Source organism: Homo sapiens, chromosome 6 (genome assembly GCF_000001405.40).
Source record: "Homo sapiens chromosome 6, GRCh38.p14 Primary Assembly".
Taxonomy (NCBI): domain Eukaryota; kingdom Metazoa; phylum Chordata; class Mammalia; order Primates; family Hominidae; genus Homo; species Homo sapiens.
This window is the reverse complement of record NC_000006.12, coordinates 44,243,313-44,266,422: the sequence shown is the minus strand read 5'-3', so window position 1 is coordinate 44,266,422 and position 23,110 is coordinate 44,243,313. Positions and strand designations below refer to the sequence as shown.

At 53.2% G+C, this 23,110-nt stretch overlaps 3 protein-coding genes and 1 non-coding gene across 17 annotated transcripts, besides 15 other annotated features; 3 read left to right on the top strand and 1 right to left on the bottom strand.

Annotated features, from left to right (window-relative positions):
• Nucleotides 658-1,327: a silencer, noted in NCBI's record as "silent region_17262". NCBI's record gives its function as "represses an Ori minimal core promoter by ATAC-STARR-seq in GM12878 lymphoblastoid cells {active_cell/tissue: GM12878}" and the evidence as "EXISTENCE:reporter gene assay evidence [ECO:0000049][PMID:35858748]".
• Nucleotides 658-1,745: a biological region, named in NCBI's record as "H3K4me1 hESC enhancer GRCh37_chr6:44232415-44232914".
• NFKBIE (NFKB inhibitor epsilon) lies at nucleotides 872-8,257 on the top strand. Its single transcript, NM_004556.3, has 6 exons — nucleotides 872-1,441; nucleotides 3,761-3,863; nucleotides 4,575-4,797; nucleotides 5,884-5,972; nucleotides 6,141-6,380; nucleotides 7,139-8,257. Exons 1-6 carry the CDS (start codon nucleotides 1,077-1,079, stop codon nucleotides 7,202-7,204), a joined length of 1,086 nt encoding a protein of 361 aa, NP_004547.3. The 5' UTR covers nucleotides 872-1,076; the 3' UTR covers nucleotides 7,205-8,257.
• Nucleotides 1,246-1,745: an enhancer, noted in NCBI's record as "H3K4me1 hESC enhancer chr6:44232415-44232914 (GRCh37/hg19 assembly coordinates)". NCBI's record gives its function as "activates a minimal SCP1, AML or CMV promoter by ChIP-STARR-seq in naive H9 embryonic stem cells {active_cell/tissue: H9 hESC(naive)}" and the evidence as "EXISTENCE:reporter gene assay evidence [ECO:0000049][PMID:30033119]".
• Nucleotides 2,138-2,367: an enhancer, noted in NCBI's record as "active region_24637". NCBI's record gives its function as "activates an Ori minimal core promoter by ATAC-STARR-seq in GM12878 lymphoblastoid cells {active_cell/tissue: GM12878}" and the evidence as "EXISTENCE:reporter gene assay evidence [ECO:0000049][PMID:35858748]".
• Nucleotides 2,668-2,717: an enhancer, noted in NCBI's record as "active region_24636". NCBI's record gives its function as "activates an Ori minimal core promoter by ATAC-STARR-seq in GM12878 lymphoblastoid cells {active_cell/tissue: GM12878}" and the evidence as "EXISTENCE:reporter gene assay evidence [ECO:0000049][PMID:35858748]".
• Nucleotides 2,798-2,917: an enhancer, noted in NCBI's record as "active region_24635". NCBI's record gives its function as "activates an Ori minimal core promoter by ATAC-STARR-seq in GM12878 lymphoblastoid cells {active_cell/tissue: GM12878}" and the evidence as "EXISTENCE:reporter gene assay evidence [ECO:0000049][PMID:35858748]".
• Nucleotides 2,928-3,177: an enhancer, noted in NCBI's record as "active region_24634". NCBI's record gives its function as "activates an Ori minimal core promoter by ATAC-STARR-seq in GM12878 lymphoblastoid cells {active_cell/tissue: GM12878}" and the evidence as "EXISTENCE:reporter gene assay evidence [ECO:0000049][PMID:35858748]".
• Nucleotides 3,188-3,247: an enhancer, noted in NCBI's record as "active region_24633". NCBI's record gives its function as "activates an Ori minimal core promoter by ATAC-STARR-seq in GM12878 lymphoblastoid cells {active_cell/tissue: GM12878}" and the evidence as "EXISTENCE:reporter gene assay evidence [ECO:0000049][PMID:35858748]".
• On the top strand, nucleotides 8,533-12,322 carry SLC35B2 (solute carrier family 35 member B2). Of its 9 annotated transcripts, none has more exons than NM_001286511.2 (4): nucleotides 8,533-8,654; nucleotides 9,545-9,738; nucleotides 9,927-10,081; nucleotides 10,779-12,322. In NM_001286511.2, the coding sequence occupies exons 2-4, from the start codon at nucleotides 9,681-9,683 to the stop codon at nucleotides 11,715-11,717; spliced, it is 1,152 nt and encodes a 383-aa protein (NP_001273440.1). In that variant the 5' UTR covers nucleotides 8,533-8,654; nucleotides 9,545-9,680; the 3' UTR covers nucleotides 11,718-12,322. The 9 variants fall into 9 exon arrangements, with proteins under 9 accessions (NP_001273440.1, NP_001273438.1, NP_835361.1 ...); NM_001286509.2 differs by lacking the exon at nucleotides 8,533-8,654 and adding an exon at nucleotides 8,895-9,023 and having other exon boundaries at nucleotides 9,931-10,081; NM_178148.4 differs by lacking the exon at nucleotides 8,533-8,654 and adding an exon at nucleotides 8,895-9,023.
• Nucleotides 8,593-9,306: an enhancer, noted in NCBI's record as "H3K27ac hESC enhancer chr6:44224854-44225567 (GRCh37/hg19 assembly coordinates)". NCBI's record gives its function as "activates a minimal SCP1, AML or CMV promoter by ChIP-STARR-seq in naive H9 embryonic stem cells {active_cell/tissue: H9 hESC(naive)}" and the evidence as "EXISTENCE:reporter gene assay evidence [ECO:0000049][PMID:30033119]".
• Nucleotides 8,677-9,216: a silencer, noted in NCBI's record as "silent region_17261". NCBI's record gives its function as "represses an Ori minimal core promoter by ATAC-STARR-seq in GM12878 lymphoblastoid cells {active_cell/tissue: GM12878}" and the evidence as "EXISTENCE:reporter gene assay evidence [ECO:0000049][PMID:35858748]".
• Nucleotides 10,736-11,451: an enhancer, noted in NCBI's record as "H3K4me1 hESC enhancer chr6:44222709-44223424 (GRCh37/hg19 assembly coordinates)". NCBI's record gives its function as "activates a minimal SCP1, AML or CMV promoter by ChIP-STARR-seq in naive H9 embryonic stem cells {active_cell/tissue: H9 hESC(naive)}" and the evidence as "EXISTENCE:reporter gene assay evidence [ECO:0000049][PMID:30033119]".
• MIR4647 (microRNA 4647) lies at nucleotides 12,138-12,217 on the top strand. Its single transcript, NR_039790.1, has one exon. It is a non-coding gene; the product is annotated as a microRNA 4647 (primary transcript).
• Nucleotides 12,540-20,229, bottom strand: HSP90AB1 (heat shock protein 90 alpha family class B member 1). 6 transcript variants are annotated; one of them, NM_001271970.2, is made up of 12 exons: nucleotides 20,079-20,229; nucleotides 17,647-17,793; nucleotides 16,840-17,046; nucleotides 16,589-16,748; nucleotides 16,269-16,402; nucleotides 15,824-16,132; nucleotides 15,210-15,375; nucleotides 14,815-15,005; nucleotides 14,539-14,686; nucleotides 14,156-14,424; nucleotides 13,045-13,378; nucleotides 12,540-12,934 (listed from the first exon to the last, which is right to left on the bottom strand). In NM_001271970.2, exons 2-12 carry the CDS (start codon nucleotides 17,791-17,793, stop codon nucleotides 12,825-12,827), a joined length of 2,175 nt encoding a protein of 724 aa, NP_001258899.1. In that variant the 5' UTR covers nucleotides 20,079-20,229; the 3' UTR covers nucleotides 12,540-12,824. The 6 variants fall into 6 exon arrangements, with proteins under 6 accessions (NP_001258899.1, NP_001258898.1, NP_031381.2 ...); NM_001271969.2 differs by lacking the exon at nucleotides 20,079-20,229 and adding an exon at nucleotides 19,228-19,322 and having other exon boundaries at nucleotides 17,647-17,806; NM_007355.4 differs by lacking the exon at nucleotides 20,079-20,229 and adding an exon at nucleotides 19,228-19,322.
• Nucleotides 18,223-18,272: an enhancer, noted in NCBI's record as "active region_24632". NCBI's record gives its function as "activates an Ori minimal core promoter by ATAC-STARR-seq in GM12878 lymphoblastoid cells {active_cell/tissue: GM12878}" and the evidence as "EXISTENCE:reporter gene assay evidence [ECO:0000049][PMID:35858748]".
• Nucleotides 18,757-19,511: an enhancer, noted in NCBI's record as "NANOG-H3K27ac-H3K4me1 hESC enhancer chr6:44214649-44215403 (GRCh37/hg19 assembly coordinates)". NCBI's record gives its function as "activates a minimal SCP1, AML or CMV promoter by ChIP-STARR-seq in primed H9 embryonic stem cells {active_cell/tissue: H9 hESC(primed)}" and the evidence as "EXISTENCE:reporter gene assay evidence [ECO:0000049][PMID:30033119]".
• Nucleotides 19,823-20,062: a silencer, noted in NCBI's record as "silent region_17260". NCBI's record gives its function as "represses an Ori minimal core promoter by ATAC-STARR-seq in GM12878 lymphoblastoid cells {active_cell/tissue: GM12878}" and the evidence as "EXISTENCE:reporter gene assay evidence [ECO:0000049][PMID:35858748]".
• Nucleotides 20,266-21,020: an enhancer, noted in NCBI's record as "H3K27ac-H3K4me1 hESC enhancer chr6:44213140-44213894 (GRCh37/hg19 assembly coordinates)". NCBI's record gives its function as "activates a minimal SCP1, AML or CMV promoter by ChIP-STARR-seq in naive H9 embryonic stem cells {active_cell/tissue: H9 hESC(naive)}" and the evidence as "EXISTENCE:reporter gene assay evidence [ECO:0000049][PMID:30033119]".

Here is a 23,110-nt window from a genome sequence, read left to right as displayed (position 1 = left end):
CATTTTCATGCCCAATTCCATGTGATGTGGGACGTTGACACAGGAGACTGTCTTCCAGGACCCAGGAGAACTGCTCCTTTAAAGATAATGGGAGTCCCCTTTCCCTACCCGTACCCCTGGGCACTGATAGGGAAAGATGAGAAAGCAAGAGAAATTGAGATAAATGGGCAGGGGATAGGAAGCAGTGCTTCCCCATCCCATCGCCTACATGCCCTCCCCCAAAGATGCCAGCTTGTACGGACAATTAATAGATATTTCTTTTAAAACAAATGAATGATCCGGGACCGGTGGCTCACAGCCTGTAATCCCAGCACTTTGGTAGTCCGAGGCAGGCAGATCGCTTGAACCCAGGAGTTCGAGACCAGCCTGGGCAACGTAGCGAGACCCCCGTCTCTACTTGTAGTCCCAGCTACTCGAAAGGCTGAGGCAGGAGAATCGCTTGAACCCAGGAGGCGGAGGTTGCAGTGAGCAGAGATCAACCACTGCACTCCAGCCTGGGCAACAGAGCAAGACTTCGTCTCAAAAAAATAAAAAATAAAAATAAAACAAATGAATTAAGAAATAGAAGTGAAAGAAGGAAACAGTACATGCGTGGAACTAATGAATGGAGTGAAGGAGGAAGGGGGAAAGAGTGAATGAATGAATGAATGAATGAGTGAATGAATCAACGAAGGAGTGAGTCAAGGCCCGGGAACCACAGACTCCAAGCCTACGCAGAGCCCGGGAAGGGGGATTCCGGAGGGGCGGGGCCTCTTTCCGGAAGCGCCCGCCGGGGGCGGGGAGGGGGCGGGGCCATCCGCGTGAGGCGACCCTGTTGGTCCGGAGGGGCGGGGCGAGGAGGAGGACCCGCTTGGGCGGTTCGGCTGCCCACAGTAACCGCTGGGTGGACCTGGCCAGCGCTCCGAACCTTGTCCTCGCTGCGCGCCGGCCCCTCGGAGCCCCACAGCCCGGGAAGGAGGCCGCCGCGGGCCGGGCGCCCGCTCTGCCAAGCGGACCCGCAACCCGGAAAGGCGGCGCGGCGGAGCCTGGAGCCGGATCCTGCTCAGACCGGGCCCCGGCCGGCCAGAGCCGCGGGCATGTCGGAGGCGCGGAAGGGGCCGGACGAGGCGGAGGAGAGCCAGTACGACTCTGGCATTGAGTCTCTGCGCTCTCTGCGCTCCCTACCCGAGTCCACCTCGGCTCCAGCCTCCGGGCCCTCGGACGGCAGCCCCCAGCCCTGCACCCATCCTCCGGGACCCGTCAAGGAACCACAGGAGAAGGAAGACGCGGATGGGGAGCGGGCTGATTCCACCTATGGCTCCTCCTCGCTCACCTACACCCTGTCCTTGCTGGGGGGCCCCGAGGCTGAGGACCCGGCCCCACGCCTGCCACTCCCCCACGTGGGGGCGCTGAGCCCTCAGCAGCTGGAAGCACTCACTTACATCTCCGAGGACGGAGACACGTGAGTATGGGGGCTAGGCTGAATCGGGATGCTAACTCTGGGCCTGCCCAAGAGCCGCAACAGGTCGGGCACCCCCACTCCCCCGTGAAGATCCTTCAAGTCCCCATTCGCTCTTCCAAACTCCAGACTTAACTCTCAGCCCACTTTTGAGGTCCAGCTAGGCCATGGAATCATCTCTGTCCTCCCATTTCGGGGTGGGCAGAGCTGGCAGGACCCTTAACCCAGCCAGCATCTTGGAAATCTACCAATAATCCACCCTTAGGAAGAGAAAATTCCCCTGACCAAGTCCAGTTTTTTTGTTTCTTCTTGCTGGGGAAGGGGACATCCTTATTTGCTCAATATCTGGGATTCCCAGTTCCTGACCTCAGAATGCTCTGTCTCAAGGAACAACAGGTGCCAGTTACAGGTTGCCAGTCGGGGCCAGGAAGCTAGGCATGGGGGGTGCCACCAGGGTGTAGGTTTGGGACTGGTCCTCAGGAGGATGGGGTGAGCCAGGCTGGGGCACTCTTGCCCCAGCAGACAGACAGGCGGCTGGCTGCCCCAGCTTACTTCCTCCTCTGCTAAGAAAGGGGAAGTGAGGGCTAGAGTCAGCGTCCCTGACATCCTCTACCTCCAGAGCCCCCAGTCCCACTAACTGTCGTGTCTCACTCCCTCACTTAACCCTTCCTCCTCCAGACCCAGATGGAGTTTGGTGGGAGTGGGCCAGAGGGCAGTTGAAGTAAAAGGCAGTTGTGTGGGATGGGTTGGCCAGTTGAGGATTTAGCCCCCCAGGAAGAAGAAAACATTGACAGAGGAGGGAAAGGTTGGGAACTGGGGATGAGAAATAGAGTTGGGGAGGGCTGGAATCCCTGGTCAAGGGTGCTCATATAAATAGGAGTAGGGGAGGCAGGAGGTGGCTGTCCTAACCTGCTTTTTGGAGATGCAGGGTCCTAATCCTGGGTGGCCATTGATAAAGACAGCTGGTGGACCCAGTGGGTGGGAGAGGAGTGACCCAGTCCTTTCTGTACTCTGCCTGGATCACCAGCCCTCAGGCCCAGAACCCCAAGGTTTTGGGGGCTGCACGCAAGATACCTCTGATGACCTTTGATCCAAGGAGAGGGGACTTTTGACATTGCCGTCTTTTGTTAGCCTCTCAGCCCCAGCCTTTTCCATCTCTAGTTAGAAGCAGGTGTTGTGTCCAGATTGGGTGTGTGTGTGGAGGGGAGAAATGTCCGGGCTCCCCAGCGAGTCCCCAGAGAGCAGGGGGCACTTTCCTCCCTCTGTTGGAGGTGTCTGGGCTGTGGGAGGTATGGAAGTGGGAAGAGGAAGTGGGAGGAGGGGATACTGGGGGAGAGAGGGAGGTGGCTGCAAGAATGTGACCCAGAGAGCAGGCCCTGGCCTAGGGGATTTCCAGAGCAGTTCCTCCCTCCCTCCGTCACTCTCCTGGGCCTCTCCTGCTGCCTGCTGCTAAAGCCTGCCACCCTCCTGCCCAAGCAGCCCCCTCCCCAGCCCAGACGGGCCTTTTAGCCAATCTACCCCCCTCACTAATGCCCCAAGGCAGCTGTCCCGGCCTAGACCCTCCATCACTGGCTTTCGTTTTCCCCACCTGACGTGGGGAAACCCCAAGACTGGAACTTCCCCTCCCAACTGCCCCCATTACCCCTAGATTAAGGTTCTTGGCCCCCTCAACAAATACATTTTCTGCACTACAAAGACCTCCTCTTGGAGGTGCACACAGGAATGGAGGGCCTCTGTTAGGCCCGACCTGGTCTGTGCTATCTGAGAGGTGCCTCTTGACTCCCAGGGAAGGGCAGCAGGACAGGATGCTGCACTGTCTCCTTGCTCCTCTTCCAAGAGTTTCTGTGTCTCTCCCTTGGAATGTGTAACACTGAGTTGCTTGGGGGTACGGGGTGACCCTGCAACTGTCTCCTTCTTTCCTGTGTGCTGGGGTGGTGGGGTGCTTAGCCCTGGAAACCCCCTCTGGACTACTTCGGCAGCTTTCAATTTGGCTTTGAGCTGCAGCTGGCTCGGCAGAGCCCTGAGGGCAAAGAGGAGTGGGTGTGGGCAGGCTGGACAGGAAGGCTGTTGTCCTGTCAGCACCCTGCCCACATGCCCACCCAGCCAAGGCCCTCCTGAAGGCCAGCAGTGGGAACTTGGAGCTCCAACCCTAGGATCCTGGCTTCCCACACCAACCCTCACTTCCTGGCCCACACTCTCACTTCCTGGACCTACCCTATGGGTAGCTAGTTAAAGTTTGATGTGTTCCTTCTAACTCCAAGACCCCAACCCACTCCCTCTGGCCTGGGCCCTTAACTCTAAGCCCCGCCTCTGCTCCCCTAGGCTGGTCCACCTGGCAGTGATTCATGAGGCCCCAGCGGTGCTGCTCTGTTGCCTGGCTTTGCTGCCCCAGGAGGTCCTGGACATTCAAAATAACCTTTACCAGGTTGGTGGCGAGAGAATGTTATGCCCAGATACCTGTTTGTGCCCTGGCAGCCATTCCCAGCAGCCATACCAGTCCAAAGGCTGCTCACTTAGGAAACCATATGCCAGACACTGAGCTAGAAACTGAGGAGACAGACCCAAGTAAGACATGGCCTCTGTCCTGAGGTGCTTGCATCCTGGGCTGGGGGACTTGTATCAACAGCTAAATACACAGCCTGGTGACAAGAGTTGTGATAGAGACACATACCAGCTGCTATAGGGTCCAGTGTCTGTGTGCAGCAGCCAGGGAAGGCTTACAGAGGAGATGCCATCTGAATGGAGCCTAACAGAGAGTTTTGCCAGGGAGAGACTGCCCGGTGCCTCTATCTTTCCTCCTGCAGCCTAACCCCTGGGGGTAACAGAGGTCTCCTCACAGGGTGAGGGGCTAGACTCTCCTCCTACATGTCCTTTCTCCAGGGCCTAAGGTGACTTACAAGAAAAGCAGAGAGCTACTTTCTTCACCTTGCTTCCAGAATTGGGATCCCAAGAGCTTGGTGGGGGAGGGGTGTGACAGGGGAAGGGCTCGGTAGTATTTCCTTGGAAGAACAGGTTATGGCCTTTATAAGCTGCTTTCAAAGAAGATGCTGGCAGCTGGTGATTCTTGAGCCCAAGCATGTTCCCAGAGGTGGGAGCATGCTGCAGTGGCCCCATGACCCTCTATTTGTGCCTCCAGACAGCACTCCATCTGGCTGTACATCTGGACCAACCGGGCGCAGTTCGGGCACTGGTGCTGAAGGGGGCCAGCCGGGCACTACAGGACCGGCATGGTGACACAGCCCTTCATGTGGCCTGCCAGCGCCAGCACTTGGCCTGTGCCCGCTGCCTGCTGGAAGGGCGGCCAGAGCCAGGCAGAGGAACATCTCACTCTCTGGACCTCCAGCTGCAAAACTGGCAAGGTGTGGACAGTCTTTAAGACTGCCCTTAGGGCCTGTGGGATGAGGAGGGCATAGGAGATAGGGACCTCACTCTTGGGGAAGGGAGGGTCCCAGCTTGTCCATTGGTGCCCCTCCCACTGTAAGCACATAGATATTCAGTACATCTTTGCCAAATGAATGAATGGATGATTTGATTTCGAATTTAACCAGTACCTACTGCCTGCTGAGAAGAAAACTAAATCTTGCCCTTAAGATACTTAGTTTAATAGAGATTAGATGACCTGATTCATTCATTCAACAGAAATGTACTGAGGGTTTTCTATGTGCCAGACGTTATCCTAGGAGCTACACTTGCATCTGTGTGCAAAATAGAGAAAGATTGAGATGAGCAATAAATGTAAGAAGTGAACTATGTAATATGTTAAAAGGAAGTAAGTGCTGTAGTAAAAAGCAGAGCAGAGTGAGAGGAAGGAATGTGGGGAGTAGGAGAGTTGATATGATTGTTAAATAGGGTGGTCCGGGAAGGCCTCATGGAGCCAGTGACATCTGAATAGCGCCCTGAGGAAGGTGAAGAATGTAAATTTGAATCGAAATCTCTATTACTAAGCAAGGGTCGGGAGTGTCCAGACTAGAAAGGAGAGCAAAAAGGCCAGGGGAGCACAGAAGGAAGCGGCCCCTGAGAAAGGGCTGGGGGCATGAGGATCTTAGGTGGCTTTTCAGAAAAGGTGGCTTTCAGACTGGGCTTGAAGGCAGGTTGTGTGTGTGTGTGTGTGTGTGTGTGTGTGTCTGTATGTGTGTGTGTGTGTGTGTGTGTGTGTGTTGTAGTTTGTGTATAGGAGGAGGGTGTTCTTTGGGGGTGTCACTCAGCAGCCTGACCCCTGAAGCATGAAAGTTTCAATAACATGACTCTGAAAAGGTGGAAACTTTGAGTTCCTTTCCCCTTAGACTTTTGAGGGGGTTTTGGGGTTTGCATTTTAACAGTCTTGTGATTAGAGACATTGAGTGGGCTGTGAGTCCCTTGGGGCTGAGTGGTAGGGAGGTCCCAGAAGAGAGGGAGTTGGTGGATGCAGATCAGCAGCCCTCACCCTCACTCTCACCCCATCCCAGGTCTGGCTTGTCTCCACATTGCCACCCTTCAGAAGAACCAACCACTCATGGAATTGCTGCTTCGGAATGGAGCTGACATTGATGTGCAGGTGAGACAGCCAGCAAAGCACTGCCCGGCCCAGGGCCTGCCCCCACCTGACACATCCCCAAGTCCCCTGCCCAGCAGTCAGAAGTGGTGGCATTCACTTCCTTATCCAGAGCCCAGGCCCAGCACACTGCCTCTGAGGGCCTTGGCTGACATCCTTATTCCTCCCCAGGAGGGCACCAGTGGTAAGACAGCGCTGCACCTGGCTGTGGAAACCCAAGAGCGGGGCCTGGTACAGTTCCTGCTCCAGGCTGGTGCCCAGGTAGATGCCCGCATGCTGAACGGGTGCACACCCCTGCACCTGGCAGCTGGCCGGGGTCTCATGGGCATCTCATCCACTCTGTGCAAGGCGGGTGCTGACTCCCTGCTGCGGAATGTGGAGGATGAGACGCCCCAGGACCTGACTGAGGAAGTAAGTGGCATATGCTTTGCTCTCCAGGGCCTTGCACACCCATAGCAGAGAGAGGTTCTGTCATTAGCTGAAAGGGCCAGGGAGCCAGGAGTCCTGGGGTATAACCAGGACTCTGCCACTGACCAACTGTGGGAACTTGAGCCTGTTTCCTTAGTTGGTCCAAGGAGCCAAATTTGGACTCTTACAGGGACCCTGCAGTTAAAGTGAATCAGTGAAGTTGGCCAGATATGAGACCATGGTGTGGTGAGGCCTATAAGAACCCAGAGAGCCATCCCTGAGGGTCTCTGTACTCAGCTTCAGCAAAGGCTTACAAAGCAGGAGTGTAGGCCCAGTTTTTCCTGGTCTTGGACTTTCTTGAGAGGTGAAACTCAGATTTTCTGTACAGTCTTTCCTATTTTTAAATGTTCAGTGTAAAAAAGAAACCTAAATGTTCTGCGAGTACCCAGCAGCCCCCCCACCCCATCCCCCAACAACAACAAACAACTCCAGGTCCATGGGCTGGATCACCTCTAAGGGTCCCTCCTAACTCGGATATTCTGGCATTATCTTAGAAAAGGAAGGCTTGTCTAAGTCCTCAGGGCTCTGCCAAGCCCAGAGGGGCCACTATTTTGAGGATTCGTGTGAAGATTTGTTCCCTGATGGTCTTCAACTGTCATTTGGTGGGGAGGGAGTGGCCCAACAGGTTTCCCTGGGTCCCCTTTCCCAAGTCACCTTTTCCCATGTCCTCTGATCTTGCTTCTCTCCATTCTCCTTCTCAGTCCCTTGTCCTTTTGCCCTTTGATGACCTGAAGATCTCAGGGAAACTGCTGCTGTGTACCGACTGAAGCCAGGCAGGGTCTGGGATCCTCAGGGCTCCACCTCTCCATCTGGAAGCCGGAGCCATAACTGCTGCAGTTTGGGCCCAGGCTATGTGCTCTTCTGGTGCCCTAGGGACTGCTGTGGCCAGAGCCTGGGGCCAGCCAGTACAGTCCTGAGCCGAGGAGGAGGGACTGCAAGTGGAAGAGAGCCAGTCTGGAAGGAAGAGCTTTCCAGGTGGACAGGGCTTCTTGGAAGACCCCCAAAGCCCCAGGTATCCTGGGTGAAGCCTGTTTGCCTCTCTTGAAAATGGCAGGTGCTCTTGTTTTACCCATGTTGGGTCAGCCTGAAACTGCCAACCAGTAGGAAGCATGGACTCTCCTGAGTGAGAAGAGACTGAAATAGGAGCAAGCAGAACCCTGAGAGGTGTCCCATCTTATTGCTGTTGAGGACCCTGAAACACCGTTGTTTAAAGACTTCACACAGAAGGCTCTGAACTGAGCCACTGGGGAAGGGAAGTTTCAGTAACATGACACTAAAATGGCAGAGACGTTAAAAAAAGTTTTTCCCTTCTAGAGCTGTTTTGCGCGCATGCATGTCTGTGTGCATTGGGGCTTTTTAGACAGGCCTGCCCTGTGACTTTGTGGTAGAGGCAGAGAGAAGGAAATTGTCCCCTGAGCACGGTAGGGCCTTGCTGGGTGGGGTCAGAGGCCAGTAGTTCCAGGCCTTTCTCTGTGTCCAGCACAGACCCTTGTCCTTGCTGTGGAAATGATGAGGGATGGAGGGACAAGAGGAAGAATGAGAGGACACACGCCCTGGAGCCCTCACCACTGCCCTGGGGGTTGCCATCTGGAGGAGCCTGGGGATAAGGGTAACCCAGGGAGGCTGGGCACGAGGGAGCTGACTCCACGTTTTTCCCCCCGTTCCTCACCTTCGAGGGCCCTGCTAGGTCACCCCTATGCTGGCATGAAGAGCATGGGGCAATAAACCAGCACAGTCTCTGACCACTTGGAGCGTCTCATCCAGTGAGAGAGACAGCCGTTAAAAGCATAAACATCCAAATAAAGATGCCTTTCCAAGTTGCAGTGGGTGCTATGAAGGGAAAAGAATAGTGGGAAGGAAAAGGATGGAGTCGGTAGAGGGTCATACTTTGGGTGGTCCGGGAACCCTCGCCTGAGGAGTATCATCTCAACTGGGATGTAAGGATGAGTAAAGGGATGGGGGCAGAGCATTAGGGGGAAAGCCTGTGAATTAGAGGAACTGAGAGCAAGCCAGTGGGGCTTCACAGCGGGCGAGTGAGTGGGCGAGGAACGCGGGCGAGGCCATGTAGAGCCTCGAAGATCATGGGAAGTGGGACAGAATTACTACCCAGCCAACAAAGCAAGGAGACACCTTCATCCTGTCAGAAAACGGGGAAACTAACACAGAGGAGCGGCTTGGGATGCAGAGCCTCAATGTCCTGTCCACAAGATGGCAATGGTCACCATGACCTCTGGGACGCTTATGAAGGGCGATGACGAAGCACAGGGGACACGCCGGGCGGGCGCCTCTTCAGGGCTGGGGCTCCCCGCGCCCAGGGGCAGCCCAGGTCCCCGGAACCCAAGCCGCGTCTGCCTCCGGGCCGCGCGGGGGCGCTGTGGTCCGGCGGCGGCCCGGGGCGCTGCGTGGTCGCGGCAGGGGCGGAGGGGGCCGCGGGGAGGGAGGCGGGAAGAGCGCGGCACTTCCGCTGGCCGCTGGCTCGCTGGCCGCTCCTGGAGGCGGCGGCGGGAGCGCAGGGGGCGCGCGGCCCGGGGACTCGCATTCCCCGGTTCCCCCTCCACCCCACGCGGCCTGGACCATGGACGCCAGGTGGGGGCTAGGGCAGCAGCGAGCTCACGTGACCGAGCCCCCGGGCCACGTGACTGCCGCGCCTCAGCACGGGGGCCGGGTGGGGTCCCGGCTGCTCGGCCGTCGGCCAGCATATCGCTGCCCGGAGCCAGCGGGGATGGGAGCTGCGGCTTGGTTTTGTGCTCCTTGGGGAGCTTCGGGCGGAGGGGCTGGGGACCCTGACGTCCCGGATCGTGGAGGGGAGTGTGGGGGAAGGGGCGCTTCCTCTGACCTGAGCAGCCGGCTAGCGTTGGAGGGAACAGAGGAGACCTGTGTGGCCAGAGGGGCGGATCCGCCCCCGGGGAGGGAGGAAGCTCTGCCTGGCCAGCGCCGGCGCACCCCCTCCCCGAGAGAGAGAGAGAGAGAGAGGCTCTTTGTCCGGGCCGGAGCTGCAGCGGAGGGGGCGGGGAGGAGACTCCGGGCACTACTCCAGTGTGGTCCCCTCTGGAGGGCGGAGGGGATGAGGAGCTGCGCCCTAATCCTTATGTCCGCTTTCCTTACAGATGGTGGGCAGTGGTGGTGCTGGCTGCGTTCCCCTCCCTAGGGGCAGGTGGGGAGACTCCCGAAGCCCCTCCGGAGTCATGGACCCAGCTATGGTTCTTCCGATTTGTGGTGAATGCTGCTGGCTATGCCAGCTTTATGGTACCTGGCTACCTCCTGGTGCAGTACTTCAGGCGGAAGAACTACCTGGAGACCGGTGTGTGAAGAAAGGGCGGGGAAGTGAGCTAGGTCGGGAAAGAGGGTATTTGGCCAGCAGTCCAAACGGGATATGACTTGGAGAGGGCGGGAGGTCGGTAGGCCGGACAGCAGGGCAGGCTGGCTGCTCTGGGGAAGATGAAGTGCTATGGAGAAGATTTGGGGCTTGACTTTGTGTGCTTTCTTCAGGTAGGGGCCTCTGCTTTCCCCTGGTGAAAGCTTGTGTGTTTGGCAATGAGCCCAAGGCCTCTGATGAGGTTCCCCTGGCGCCCCGAACAGAGGCGGCAGAGACCACCCCGATGTGGCAGGCCCTGAAGCTGCTCTTCTGTGCCACAGGGCTCCAGGTGGGTAGGTGGGCTCAGCCTCTCTTCCTGGGTTGGATGCCGGTGGGCAGGGATTCTGTGAAGGTTTCCATTTTACCAGTCCCAGAGCTTTGCTGGCTGGTGTGTTTCGTGTCCTCCTCCCAGGGGCACACTGCACCTCCATCTTTGAGGTGTTTGGGGGAAATGCCCTTTTGTTTCTTCCTTTTCTCCTCTCCAGCACTGGTACTGAAAGTTCATGCTGTTATTTCAAGATGTCTAGTGCAGAAGAGAGGACTCCTCTTGCCCTATTCTCTGTGATTTCTACTGTGCCGTTATTATACTTCCTTCCTGCACTGGTGTCTCACATACTGTAAACCCACTGATAAAATTGTGGGGGAGCCATTCAGCCTTCCCCCAGTACTGCATGTGAGAGAGTGCTAACATGCTGACCCCATGGCATTTTGCAGTGGGTACTAGTTCCACCTTGAATATCATGTTGAACTACAGATACCCAATTCTGAGAGTTCTTGCCTCCCTGAATAGGTTTTTCACACACAGTTGATTCCCTACAAGGTGAATCCAGACTTAGGAGGGGAGAAGAAACTTCTACAGAGGAACCAAAAAGTGTATATTTTCCTTTGAATCACTTAGGCATAATCCTGAAGAGAGAGAGGTCAATTTTTGTCTACCTTTTCATTATCTTGCTTATTGTCTCCTTTGTCTCTACCTTCCCCAACAGGTGTCTTATCTGACTTGGGGTGTGCTGCAGGAAAGAGTGATGACCCGCAGCTATGGGGCCACAGCCACATCACCGGGTGAGCGCTTTACGGACTCGCAGTTCCTGGTGCTAATGAACCGAGTGCTGGCACTGATTGTGGCTGGCCTCTCCTGTGTTCTCTGCAAGCAGCCCCGGCATGGGGCACCCATGTACCGGTACTCCTTTGCCAGCCTGTCCAATGTGCTTAGCAGCTGGTGCCAATACGAAGCTCTTAAGTTCGTCAGCTTCCCCACCCAGGTGCTGGCCAAGGCCTCTAAGGTGATCCCTGTCATGCTGATGGGAAAGCTTGTGTCTCGGCGCAGCTACGAACACTGGGAGTACCTGACAGCCACCCTCATCTCCATTGGGGTCAGCATGTTTCTGCTATCCAGCGGACCAGAGCCCCGCAGCTCCCCAGCCACCACACTCTCAGGCCTCATCTTACTGGCAGGTTATATTGCTTTTGACAGCTTCACCTCAAACTGGCAGGATGCCCTGTTTGCCTATAAGATGTCATCGGTGCAGATGATGTTTGGGGTCAATTTCTTCTCCTGCCTCTTCACAGTGGGCTCACTGCTAGAACAGGGGGCCCTACTGGAGGGAACCCGCTTCATGGGGCGACACAGTGAGTTTGCTGCCCATGCCCTGCTACTCTCCATCTGCTCCGCATGTGGCCAGCTCTTCATCTTTTACACCATTGGGCAGTTTGGGGCTGCCGTCTTCACCATCATCATGACCCTCCGCCAGGCCTTTGCCATCCTTCTTTCCTGCCTTCTCTATGGCCACACTGTCACTGTGGTGGGAGGGCTGGGGGTGGCTGTGGTCTTTGCTGCCCTCCTGCTCAGAGTCTACGCGCGGGGCCGTCTAAAGCAACGGGGAAAGAAGGCTGTGCCTGTTGAGTCTCCTGTGCAGAAGGTTTGAGGGTGGAAAGGGCCTGAGGGGTGAAGTGAAATAGGACCCTCCCACCATCCCCTTCTGCTGTAACCTCTGAGGGAGCTGGCTGAAAGGGCAAAATGCAGGTGTTTTCTCAGTATCACAGACCAGCTCTGCAGCAGGGGATTGGGGAGCCCAGGAGGCAGCCTTCCCTTTTGCCTTAAGTCACCCATCTTCCAGTAAGCAGTTTATTCTGAGCCCCGGGGGTAGACAGTCCTCAGTGAGGGGTTTTGGGGAGTTTGGGGTCAAGAGAGCATAGGTAGGTTCCAGTTACTCTTCCCACAAGTTCCCTTAAGTCTTGCCCTAGCTGTGCTCTGCCACCTTCCAGACTCACTCCCCTCTGCAAATACCTGCATTTCTTACCCTGGTGAGAAAAGCACAAGCGGTGTAGGCTCCAATGCTGCTTTCCCAGGAGGGTGAAGATGGTGCTGTGCTGAGGAAAGGGGATGCAGAGCCCTGCCCAGCACCACCACCTCCTATGCTCCTGGATCCCTAGGCTCTGTTCCATGAGCCTGTTGCAGGTTTTGGTACTTTAGAAATGTAACTTTTTGCTCTTATAATTTTATTTTATTAAATTAAATTACTGCAGTGGACTTGGTCCTGTGTTTTGGTTGACTGAAAGGGCATTATTATATGGTAGTTTTTCCAAACTGCCTTTAGCTTCAGTGTGTGAACTCTTAAGACTCACTGGTATTCTGTTATTTTCACTACAAAACCAGCTCAACTTGCTGTGCTCATGAAAACAGCAAGAGCTGGAGGGATGAAGAAGCTAGGGAAGGATAACATCCACTTCACAAGGGAAAGCAGAACTGTATAAAAACGGCATATTCTTTATTTTGCATACTTTAATTTCAGAACAAAATGAAGAAAATAAAATAAACCACAATACACAACATCCAATCCTGCTGTCAAGAGTAGAGAGGGAATGGGGCTTGACACCCTTAGTTTACTGCCTTCAACACAAGGACAGGAGAGGGAAAAAAACACTAGACACCAGCAGGGGGAGCCAGGTGGGACAGGGGCACTCGAGGCTGCAGTGGGAGCCCATGGGGACACTATACAAGGGCACAAGTTTTCCAACTATGAACTCCTAACCTAATCGACTTCTTCCATGCGAGACGCATCCTCATCGCCCTCGAGAGGGGGGATCTCATCAGGAACTGCAGCATTGGGTTCCTCTGCTGCCACTTCATCTTCATCAATACCTGAAGTAAAATTAAGCCATGTGAGACTTGACCAAATAGCATTAAGTCAAATCCATAGAGGAGACGAGTTGCACAAACTCCTTGCCACACCAAGTACCAAAGCTACTTACCTAGACCTAGCTTGATCATGCGATAGATGCGGTTGGAGTGGGTCTGGGGATCCTCAAGGGAAAAGCCAGAAGATAGCAGGGCGGTTTCAAACAGCAGCACCACCAGGTCCTTAACTGCCTTATCATTCTTGTCGGCCTCAGCCTTCTGCCGCAGCGTCTCCACAATGGGGTGGTCAGGGTTGATCTCCAGGTGCTTTTTGGCCATCATATAGCCCATGGTGGAGTTGTCCCGAAGTGCCTGGGCTTTCATGATCCGCTCCATATTGGCTGTCCAGCCGTAGGTGCTGGTCACAATGCAGCAAGGTGAAGACACAAGTCTATTGGAGATTGTCACCTGTGGACGATCACAAAAGCCTTAGATTGACATTACCACTTTGAAAGAGAAAACAGGCATTGTCAAGCCTAATTCCAGCAGGGGGAGGAGGTGGACAGACCACTTGAGTTTGAGACCATGCTGGCCAACATGGCAAAACCCTGTCTACAAAAAATTAACCGGGTGTGGTAGCACACATCTGTAATCCCAGCCACTCAGGAGACTTGAGTTTGCAGTGAGCGAGATCCAGTCCAAAAAAAAAAAAAATCGGCCAGGCATGGTGGCTTGCGCCTGTTAATCCCAGCACTTTGGGAGGCCGAGGTGGGCGAATCACAAGGTCAGGAGATGGAGACCATCCTGGCTAACGCGATGAAACCCCATCTCTACTAAAAATACAAAAAATTAGCCGGGGTGTGGTGGCGGGCGCCTGTAGTGGCAGCTACTCAGGAGGCTAAGGCAGGAGAATGGCGTGAACCCAGGAGGCGGAGCTTGCAATGAGCAGAGATCGTGCCACTGCACTCCAGCCTGGGTGACAGAGCGAGACCCCATCTCAAAAAAAGAAAAAAAAAAGAAAATGATGGTATTTTATCTACTCTCAGAAGTTAACTGAAGCAATGCCTAATCTGTGCCAAATTTTATTAAAATAGCCTTAAACCTGACTAGAGAAGAGAACAAGAGGCAAGAAGGCATGAAACAGTAAATAGGCTGCCTCAAACCACTAATTGTATAGAAACATGCTTGTGAGGGAGCCCACCTCGAAGATGTTACAAAATATATCCTAGCCCCAGAATGGCTTACCTTCTCAACCTTCTTATCTAAGATTTCTTTCATGAGCTTGCAGAGGTTCTCAAACTTTGCCTTGCTCTCTTCCATCTTCTTCTTCTCCTCCTCATCCTCAGGCAGCTCCAGACCCTCCTTGGTAACTGAGACCAGGCTCTTCCCATCAAATTCCTTGAGCTGCTGCACACAGTACTCGTCAATGGGCTCGGTCATATATACCACCTCGAAGCCCCGTTTCCGCACTCGCTCCACAAAAGCTGAGTTGGCCACCTGCTCTTTGCTCTCACCTGTAGGGTAATTAAATGAACTCAGTGACTAAAATGCCTCATACTGCCAGTTCCCAGGAAGCCCTAATTGTGCTCCCCACTCCTCCAAAAAGGCTTCAATCAGAGTCAACGCACCAGTGATGTAATAGATGGACTTCTGTGTCTCCTTCATGCGAGAAACATACTCTGACAGAGATGTCATCTCATCTCCAGACTGGGAGGTATGATAGCGCAGCAGCTCAGACAGGCGGCGGCGGTTAGTGGAGTCTTCGTGGATTCCAAGCTTGAAGGGTGGGAAGAGGAAAAACAATCCAGCTTAACTACAATAACTTCACTTTCAATGTGAATGGAATAATTTATTGTTATTACTAAGAAAGTGGTAAAGGGAATAAGCATTATTTGCCTTTTTACCTTGAGATTTTTAGAGAATGCCTCATAGAATTTCTTGTAATTCTCCTTGTCTTCTGCCAGCTCAGAGAAGAGCTCAAGGCACTTCTTAACAATGTTTTTGCGAATGACTTTCAAGATTTTGCTCTGCTGGAGCATTTCTCGGGAGATGTTCAGGGGCAGATCCTCAGAGTCAACCACACCACGGATAAAATCTGCCATCAACCAGGGTGAGAAAGCTCAGTAAAAAACAGCTAGACCAGACCTGGTCCCCAGATTCAAACAGAAGGCTCTAATAGCCTCCTGAACCCTTACACCTACTATGTATTGCAGAAAACTGTTACCTTAGAATATCCTAGCAGAATGCCTAAAACCTCCCAAGACTTCACCCAACTAAATTAGGCCAAGGAGATACTCACTGAGATACTCTGGTATCAACTCATCACAGCTGTCCATGATGAACACACGGCGGACATAGAGTTTGATGTTGTTCTTTTTCTTCTTGTTCTCAAAAAGGTCAAAGGGAGCCCGACGAGGAATAAATAGCAATGCCCTGAATTCCAACTGACCTTCTACAGAAAAGTGCTGAAAGAAACCAAAAATAAGTGGTACATTTCAAAAGAGGACCTTTTAGCCCCAACACCAAATTATCTAAAAGTGGAACAATGATCCTCCCTAAGCCTAAGGGATAGAGCACACACAACAAGCAGCTCCTGAGAAAACTGAGCCTTAATGCCCTCCACGATCTAGATGGGTACTAGCTGTATGTAGAAAACAGTCCCCTCTGATCAGAACCCTGGATGTGTAAGGCTGCCAATAGACATTACCCAGATTTCCATAAGAAGAGAAAGTGAGGTCATTAGAAATGATGGCACTTCACTATGACAGGGTAATCAGTAAGTGAAATCACATGGCTATCACATTTCTGTTATCAGTTGGACAAGTTCCGTGTGTCTATTACCCAACACTCTTCCACCTAACTCATTCCTCTCCATATGTGCATGTTGAGCCAACATGCAAAGGCTTCTCACACCTTGACTGCCAAGTGGTCTTCCCAGTCATTAGTGAGGCTCTTGTAGAATTCTCCATACTCCTCTTGGGTGATGTCATCAGGGTTTCTGGTCCAAATAGGCTTGGTCTTGTTTAGTTCTTCCTGATCAATGTATTTCTCTTTGATCTTCTTAGTTTTCTTCTTCTTATCCTTACCGCTGTCATCCTCCTCATCTGAACCCACATCTTCGATCTTGGGTTTTTCTTCATCATCTTTATCTTCCTCTTCTTTCTCACCTTTCTCTTCCTCTGCCTCATCATCACTAATTTCCTTCTCTCGTTCCTTCTCCAACTAAGTAACAAAAACAGAAGTTAGCCTTGGAGTACAAAACACTACCAGGGAAAGCAAAAGCCAGGGACAATGAGATTCTCCAGAACAGGAAACATCCTGCACGTTAAGTGTAAAAGATTTAAAAGTCCATACTCACATAAAGGGTGATGGGATAGCCTATGAACTGAGAATGCTTCTTCACTACTTCTTTGACCCGCCTCTCTTCTAGGTACTCTGTCTGATCTTCTTTAAGATGGAGGATCACTTTGGTACCCCTGCCAATGGGCTCACCTAGAAGAGTCAATTACAAGCGTGTAACAGGGTAAAAAGTATATGCAGTTGAGACCAGCAATTAGTAAGTATCAGCAGAACTGCTGTGAAGAACTGCTTTACAGACAGGATGCCCAAAATTTCTGCTACTGGTGTGAGCCCAGAAAATCCTAACCCAACTACCTTGTAACAGAAAAGCTAACTTACCATGGTCAGCACGCACAGTGAAGGAACCTCCAGCAGAAGACTCCCAAGCATACTGTTCATCATCGTTGTGCTTTGTGATCACAACCACTTTCTCTGCCACCAAGTAGGCAGAATAAAAGCCAACACCAAACTGCCCAATCATGGAGATGTCTGCACCAGCCTGCCAACAAGTTTAAAGTCAATCACAAGTTTTAAAGAAGCAAAAAACCAAAGAACACAGATAAGTATGAATGCCTACAGAACTGCAATACCTGAAGAGCCTCCATGAATGCTTTAGTACCAGACTTGGCAATGGTTCCCAAATTATTTATGAGATCAGCTTTGGTCATGCCAATGCCTGTGTCTACCAAAGTCAGGGTACGTTCCTGAGGGTTGGGGATGATGTCAATTTTCAGCTCTTTACCACTGTCCAACTTCGAAGGGTCTGTCAGGCTCTCATAGCGAATCTTGTCCAAGGCCTGGAAATACAAACAGCAACTTACTTTTGCTCTTTCCAAGACAGACTCTTGCTCTGTTGCCCAAGCTACAGTGCAGTGGCAAGGATGACAGCTCACTGCAGCCTTGACCTCCCAGGTTCGAGCCATCCTCCCAACCCCAGCTTCCCAAGTAGCTGGGACTACAGGCACATGCCACCGTGCCCAACTAATATTTAATTTTTTGCAGAGACAAGGTCTCGCGGTTGCCCAGGCTGCCCTCGAAATCCTAGGCTCAAGTGATCCTCCTGCCTTGGCATTACAGGTGTGAGCCAACACGCTCAGCCACTTTTGCTTTCTTAAAGCCCGTATCTTCAAAGAAAATCTTGGTTTACCTCTCTCAGCCTCAAATCTGATTGCCCCCTATCTTGAGGCTTTAGAACCAGTTAGTTCCATGAGCCCACTTATTCTGGACATAGTCCCTTCCAAGTTCAAGATGGCCAGAGTAAAACCCATCTTTTTGGAATAGCTGCAAGTTTACCCCCTTCAATAGTAGTCCCCAACAAAGGCCAAACCACTCCTTTCCCCTCCTTCTAGAGTATCAAAAAAAAAAACCATGCCAAATGTGGAAACCAGAGCACCTACATCAGAAGCATTAGAGATCAACTCCCGAAGGAAAATCTCCTTGTTGGAATAGAAGGTATTGATGATGAGGGACATGAGTTGGGCAATTTCTGCCTGAAAGGCAAAAGTCTCCACCTCCTCCTCTCCATGGTGCACTTCCTCAGGCATCTAAAATAAAAATCTCATTAATTACAAAAGAACACTAAGGCCCCATGTTTAAAAATCCTAAAGGTCATATCATTTGTTAGGACCTTAGACAGTGAGTTCAGACTGGTTTAACCGGAGTACTATCCCTTCCCAAGACTAAAAATGCATTCTCTTAAAGATCTCAGACTACACACTAAGTGGGAGGCCTGAAAATTCAGAAGGAAAAAGAAAATAAGCTAAATATTCTTCAACCAAATGTCACAGAACCCACCTACTTAAAGAATGGTGACCAGCAGCCTCAGCATCATCTGGTAGTATGGCAGAAAAATCATAATGTTGGTCCAACCCAGGTATCTAGAGATCCCAAGTAATCCTTACACAAATTTAAATGTGAAAATCACTACCTACAGTTCTTTATTTGGGGGAGATCAAAGTGACTAGTTTAAGATAAAAATGGCACTAACTTTAAACTGCTCCCCCTGAGGTGTCAGTTCCTAAGACCAGTCCAAGGGCGGGACACTCCTGCCCCATAGGGCAGGGAGGAATAACCTGGGATCCATACGATACCCACCGGAGGAGCAATTAAATCCGGACAAAGAATTCTTAAGCCAAAAGCTCCACCACGACCCTTTCACAGCACAAAATTACAGAACAGGACCAAACCCAAGAAAGATGGTGGCCGTAGCCACCAGGCCGACACTCGTCACTGCCGGACATGCGTCGGCCAGGACCACGCGAGGAGGGGGCGCCGCAGTGCACCCTCCCTCGCCCCAGCATCCGGGCACTGGGGCGGGGCGCCAGAATCCAGAAGCTTCCAGAACAATCTCAGCTCTCGAGGAAGGGCGGAGGAAGGAGCCCATGAATCTTCCAGAACCTGCTCCCCTCCCCGCCCCTCCTCCACCGGGACTGCAAGAAAGATCTGGAAGGAGGGAGTATCGGGTGCTGGAGACCGAAAGCTCTCTTCCCACACCGTCAACCCTCCCTCACAGAAACAAAGCACCCAAGAAGGCTTTAACAACGCGTCCGATAAGAGAGGTGACAAAGCCAGTCCCACAAGGCCGTGCTGAGTCACCCGAGCGGGCACCCCCGCCACCCTGCGGTCCCCCTCCGACGCCCCGTAGCCGCGTCCGGAAGTGGAGGGGCAAAAATGGCAGCGTCCCGGGCCGCGCGGCCACCACGTGCAGCTGCCAGCCGCCCACTGCCCCAACCCCACAGCCCACCTCGCTACGGCCAGCAGGCGCCGAGAGAAAGCCCCACCCCCCAAACACACTAGAGAAAACCGAGGAGGACTCAAAAAACCTCACCCACCACTACCCTCACCCTATAAAAATCCAGAGCGTTATCCACAAGCCACCCCGACATCTAGACTAAGGCTCCCTAAAGGACAGAAAAAAACAAAAACAACACGAATACAGCACTAAAGGGAAAGAAGCCTAGCGGAGATCTCAGCCTTACCTTGAAAAGAAAAGGATTATACGTAATAGTGAGCAACGTAGGCTTGCTTTCCGATACCCAGACAGTCCCAACACTGCGCCGGAGTGACTCGAGAGAGCTACTGCGTGCCCCAAGTCGCCCTATATAAGGCGAAGCACAGTACAGCCGCCCTCCTGTAGATCCCTCCGCCTTAAAGGAGTATGATTGTCAACCCCGCACCTGCCGCCACCAGCCCACCTTGACGTCATGGTCCGAAAAAAAGAGGGGGCGGGGAAGAACCCAAGCAACGGATCCGCCCACACATTTGCTTGTGATCACAGCCCCATAGTTTCACGTCTAGGACATGACTCCATCAAGAGCGGGGATGAGGAGTGCTCATTTGGCATAAACGGTGTCTCTACGGGCGAGGAACCCACTGACCTCCCTAAACACTTGTGGGGCAGGCGTCCCCACACCCAAGGGCGGGACTGGGGGGGACACCGAAAAAGAGCGGAGGCAGCTAACCACGCGGACCACCGCTCCCAGACCCAATCTTCTTCCTAGCATCTGCCCTACACATCTCGCGTCCCGACAGAGGGACTGGCATTCGGGACCCAACCTTGGGTAGCCCCAGATCCCGACTCTCGCAGGAGTAGAGGAAGGGCGGAGGGTTCGCGCTGAGGGGCAGCTCAGCGTAGGGGGAGGGCGCCGGCCGGGGCTGGCGGGGACTCTTTGCCGACATGCGGCGGAAGGCGCGGCGGCGGCACTGCGGCATTTCCAGCAGTTTCCAGGCCTGTCTCGGCGGTCCCGCCCCCTCCCCGCGAGGCTCCGCCTCTCCGGCTGCGGCCGGGGCAGGGTTTTTGCAGCGACCCCACCCGGCGACCCGCTCTGACCTGTCCGAGAGACGCGGGTACCAGCCCAATCCTCAGGGATGGGATGGAGGGTTGGGGAGGGATCGGCTGACCCCTCCTTCCCCGCGTCAATCACACAACACCCAGGCACCTGGGGCGGCTCTGCGGGCGTACACTTTTGCAGACTGAGAGTGGAGTACCTGCGGGGGGGACCCCCCTCTAGCCCCTGCGGCCGCCACGTACACGGAGCACGGGGACATGCGCCCTCCCTACGCAGGCACGTCAAGCCCTTTCTCAAGCTGGTTCGCTTTTTTTCCGCCCACTTCGCTCCTGCAGCCATTTGGACCTGGGAAGGAGGGAGTCTCTGGGAACCAGTGCAGGGCAGCCGGAGCTCTTGGAGGCCGCGTGACGATGCCGGCCACAGAGCGGCTGGCCAAGTTGTTCCCCTTCAGCCTTGGCACCAGAGCCCCTAGGCCATGCCCCTGGCCAGTGAGCTGCCGTGTCTGGCCTGGCTCAGCCGTTTTGCCTGCCCTCCAGTTGGCAAGCTGTCCTTGCCTTTCCAAGGCCTCATCCGAAAGCCTGCTGGACCCACAACCCCTCCAGGAGAGAATAGCCACTCCCTGCTCTGTGCCCTGTAGATGTCCATCTGCTCCCCTTCCTGGCCCACCCCTGGGATGCTTGGGAAGAGTTTCCCCACAGCCACCCACATCGTCCTCCCTCACCAGCCCTGTTGTTACCCAGTCTACGATTCGTTAACAAGTTTTGTTCATGTGTTGAATACCAAAGAACAAAGGGTGTCCCTTGCTTTCCTCTTCTTTGTCCCTGTCCACTTCGCCATGCCTGCCATCACCATCCCGATTGGATATCCTTTCTCCCTTTCATTATGGTCTGCAAAAAGCCTATGGCTGGGAGAAGTCTATAAGAAGGGGCGTTGGGTGCTCTATTCCTGACCAAAACCGCAAACCAGTGGGAGCGTGATCCCTTAACGTGTCCTCTCCTTCTAAGCAGAGCTCATTAAAAATCTGCTCCCCAGTTCACAGAGAGCATTCACAAACTCTCACTCTCCTGTGAGCGGATGAAAGTCAGTGTGCACATTCTGTCAACAGGGAAGTGGCTTCAGTGACTCCCAAGGCCCGTCTACTCAGAGTCCTTGCTGCACTAGCTCCCTTTCTGCTCCAGAAATGGAGCAGGGATGTGATCTCACCCCTAGGACCTAAATCCAAAGCAGGAATCACTCCTGTGGATGGGCTTCCCCTGAGCTGGATCCTTTCTGTGTCAAGACTCGACGGCTTCCTGAAGACTTTCTAAATGGGAAAATCTCAAATGTTACACCAGCATAGAAATTCCACTTTCTCTGCTGGGCACAGTGGCTCATACCTGTAATCCCAGCACTTTGGAAGGCCGAGGTGGGTGGATCACCCGAGGTCAGTAGTTCACAACCAGCCTGGCCAACATGGTGAAAAACCTCGTCTCTACTAAAAATTAGCTGGGCGTGGTGGCACATGCCTGTAATCCCAGCTACTTGGGAGGCTGAGGCAGGAAGATTGCTTGAACTCTGGAGGCAGAGGCTGCAGTGAGCTGAGACCATGCCATTGCACTCCAGCCTGGGCAACAAAAGAGAAACTCCGTCTCAAAAAAAAAAAAAAAAAAAAAAGGGGGCTGGGCGCGGTGGCTCATGCCTGTAATTCCAGCACTTTGGGAGGCCGAGTCCAGCGGATCACCAGGTCAGGAGTTCAAGACCAGCCTGGCCACTCTGGTGAAACCTTGTCTCTACTAAAAATACAAAAATTAGCCGGGCGTGGTAGCGCGCCTATAGTCCCCGCTACTTGGGAGGCTGAAGCAGGAGAATCACTTGAACCCGGGCGGCAGAGGTTGCCGTGAGCCGAGATCACGCCACTGCACTCCAGCCTGAGCGACACAGTGAGACTCTGTCTCAAAAAAGAAAAAAAAAAAAGAAATTCCACTTTCTCTTCCAGGAAGCCTTTCAGGAGACCGCCTACCTGTGTCCACAAGCTCCATCGTTTTCCACTCATTGACACTCACTAAGCCTCCACTGTGTGGAGATCCTGGGGATGCAGAGATGCATACACAGGACTGGGAGCCCTTAACCCACTGGAGGCTGCAGCAGCCAAGTGTGAACCATAGGAGGATGGGAGAAGCCGCAGAGGCCCTCAGCTCAGCTTGGGAAAGGGAGCAGTCTTAGGACCATGCCTAGCCAGGCCATGACATGGAAAGCATGGAAAGGAACAGAGCCCCATTAGAGGAACCATAGCTCAGGAACCCCAAAGGGAAGCACAAGGAGTTGAAAGTAGCCCTGCAGATGGGGGTTAGGTCGCAGAGGGCTGCAAATGCCACTGGTAAGAAGTCCTGATCTTAAGAGTGAGAGAAGTGAAGGTTATAAAAGACAGGCTTAAAACTATGTCTTCCAGACTGGGCACGGGTGGCTCACGCCTGTAATCCCAGACCTTTGGGAGGCCAAGGCGGGCGGATCACCTGAGGTCAGGAGTTTTGAGACCAGCCTGACCAACATGGAGAAACCCCGTCTCTACTAAAAATACAAAATTAGCTGGGTGTGGTGGCACATGCCTGTAATTCCAGCTACTCAGGAGGCTGAGGCAGGAGAATCGCTTGAACCCAGGAGGTGGAGGTTGCGGTGAGCCATGATCGCGCTATTGCACTCCAGCCTGGGCAATAAGAGCAAGATTCCGTCTCAGAAAACAAAAACAAAACAAAAAAAAACTACACCGTCCGAAGCCTTATTCCCAGCCTTGGAACCACTGATGTTCCCCAGATCCCTTTTATTCCTCCATGAAACCTCCTAGGCCCAGCCCAACCTTCTGCTGTCGGAGGGTGGCCAGCTAAAGCAGGGATTAACAACCCAAGGTCTGCAGCTGGTGGGCCTGCTGCTTGTTTTTTGAATGGCCTGTGGGCTAAGAAGGGTTTTTACACTTCATAATGGTTGAAAAAAAAATCAAAAGAAAGATATTATTTTGACATGGGAAAATTATATGAAATTTGAATTTCTGTTTTCATGAAGTTTTTTTTTTTTTTTTTTAGACGGAGTCTCACTCGTC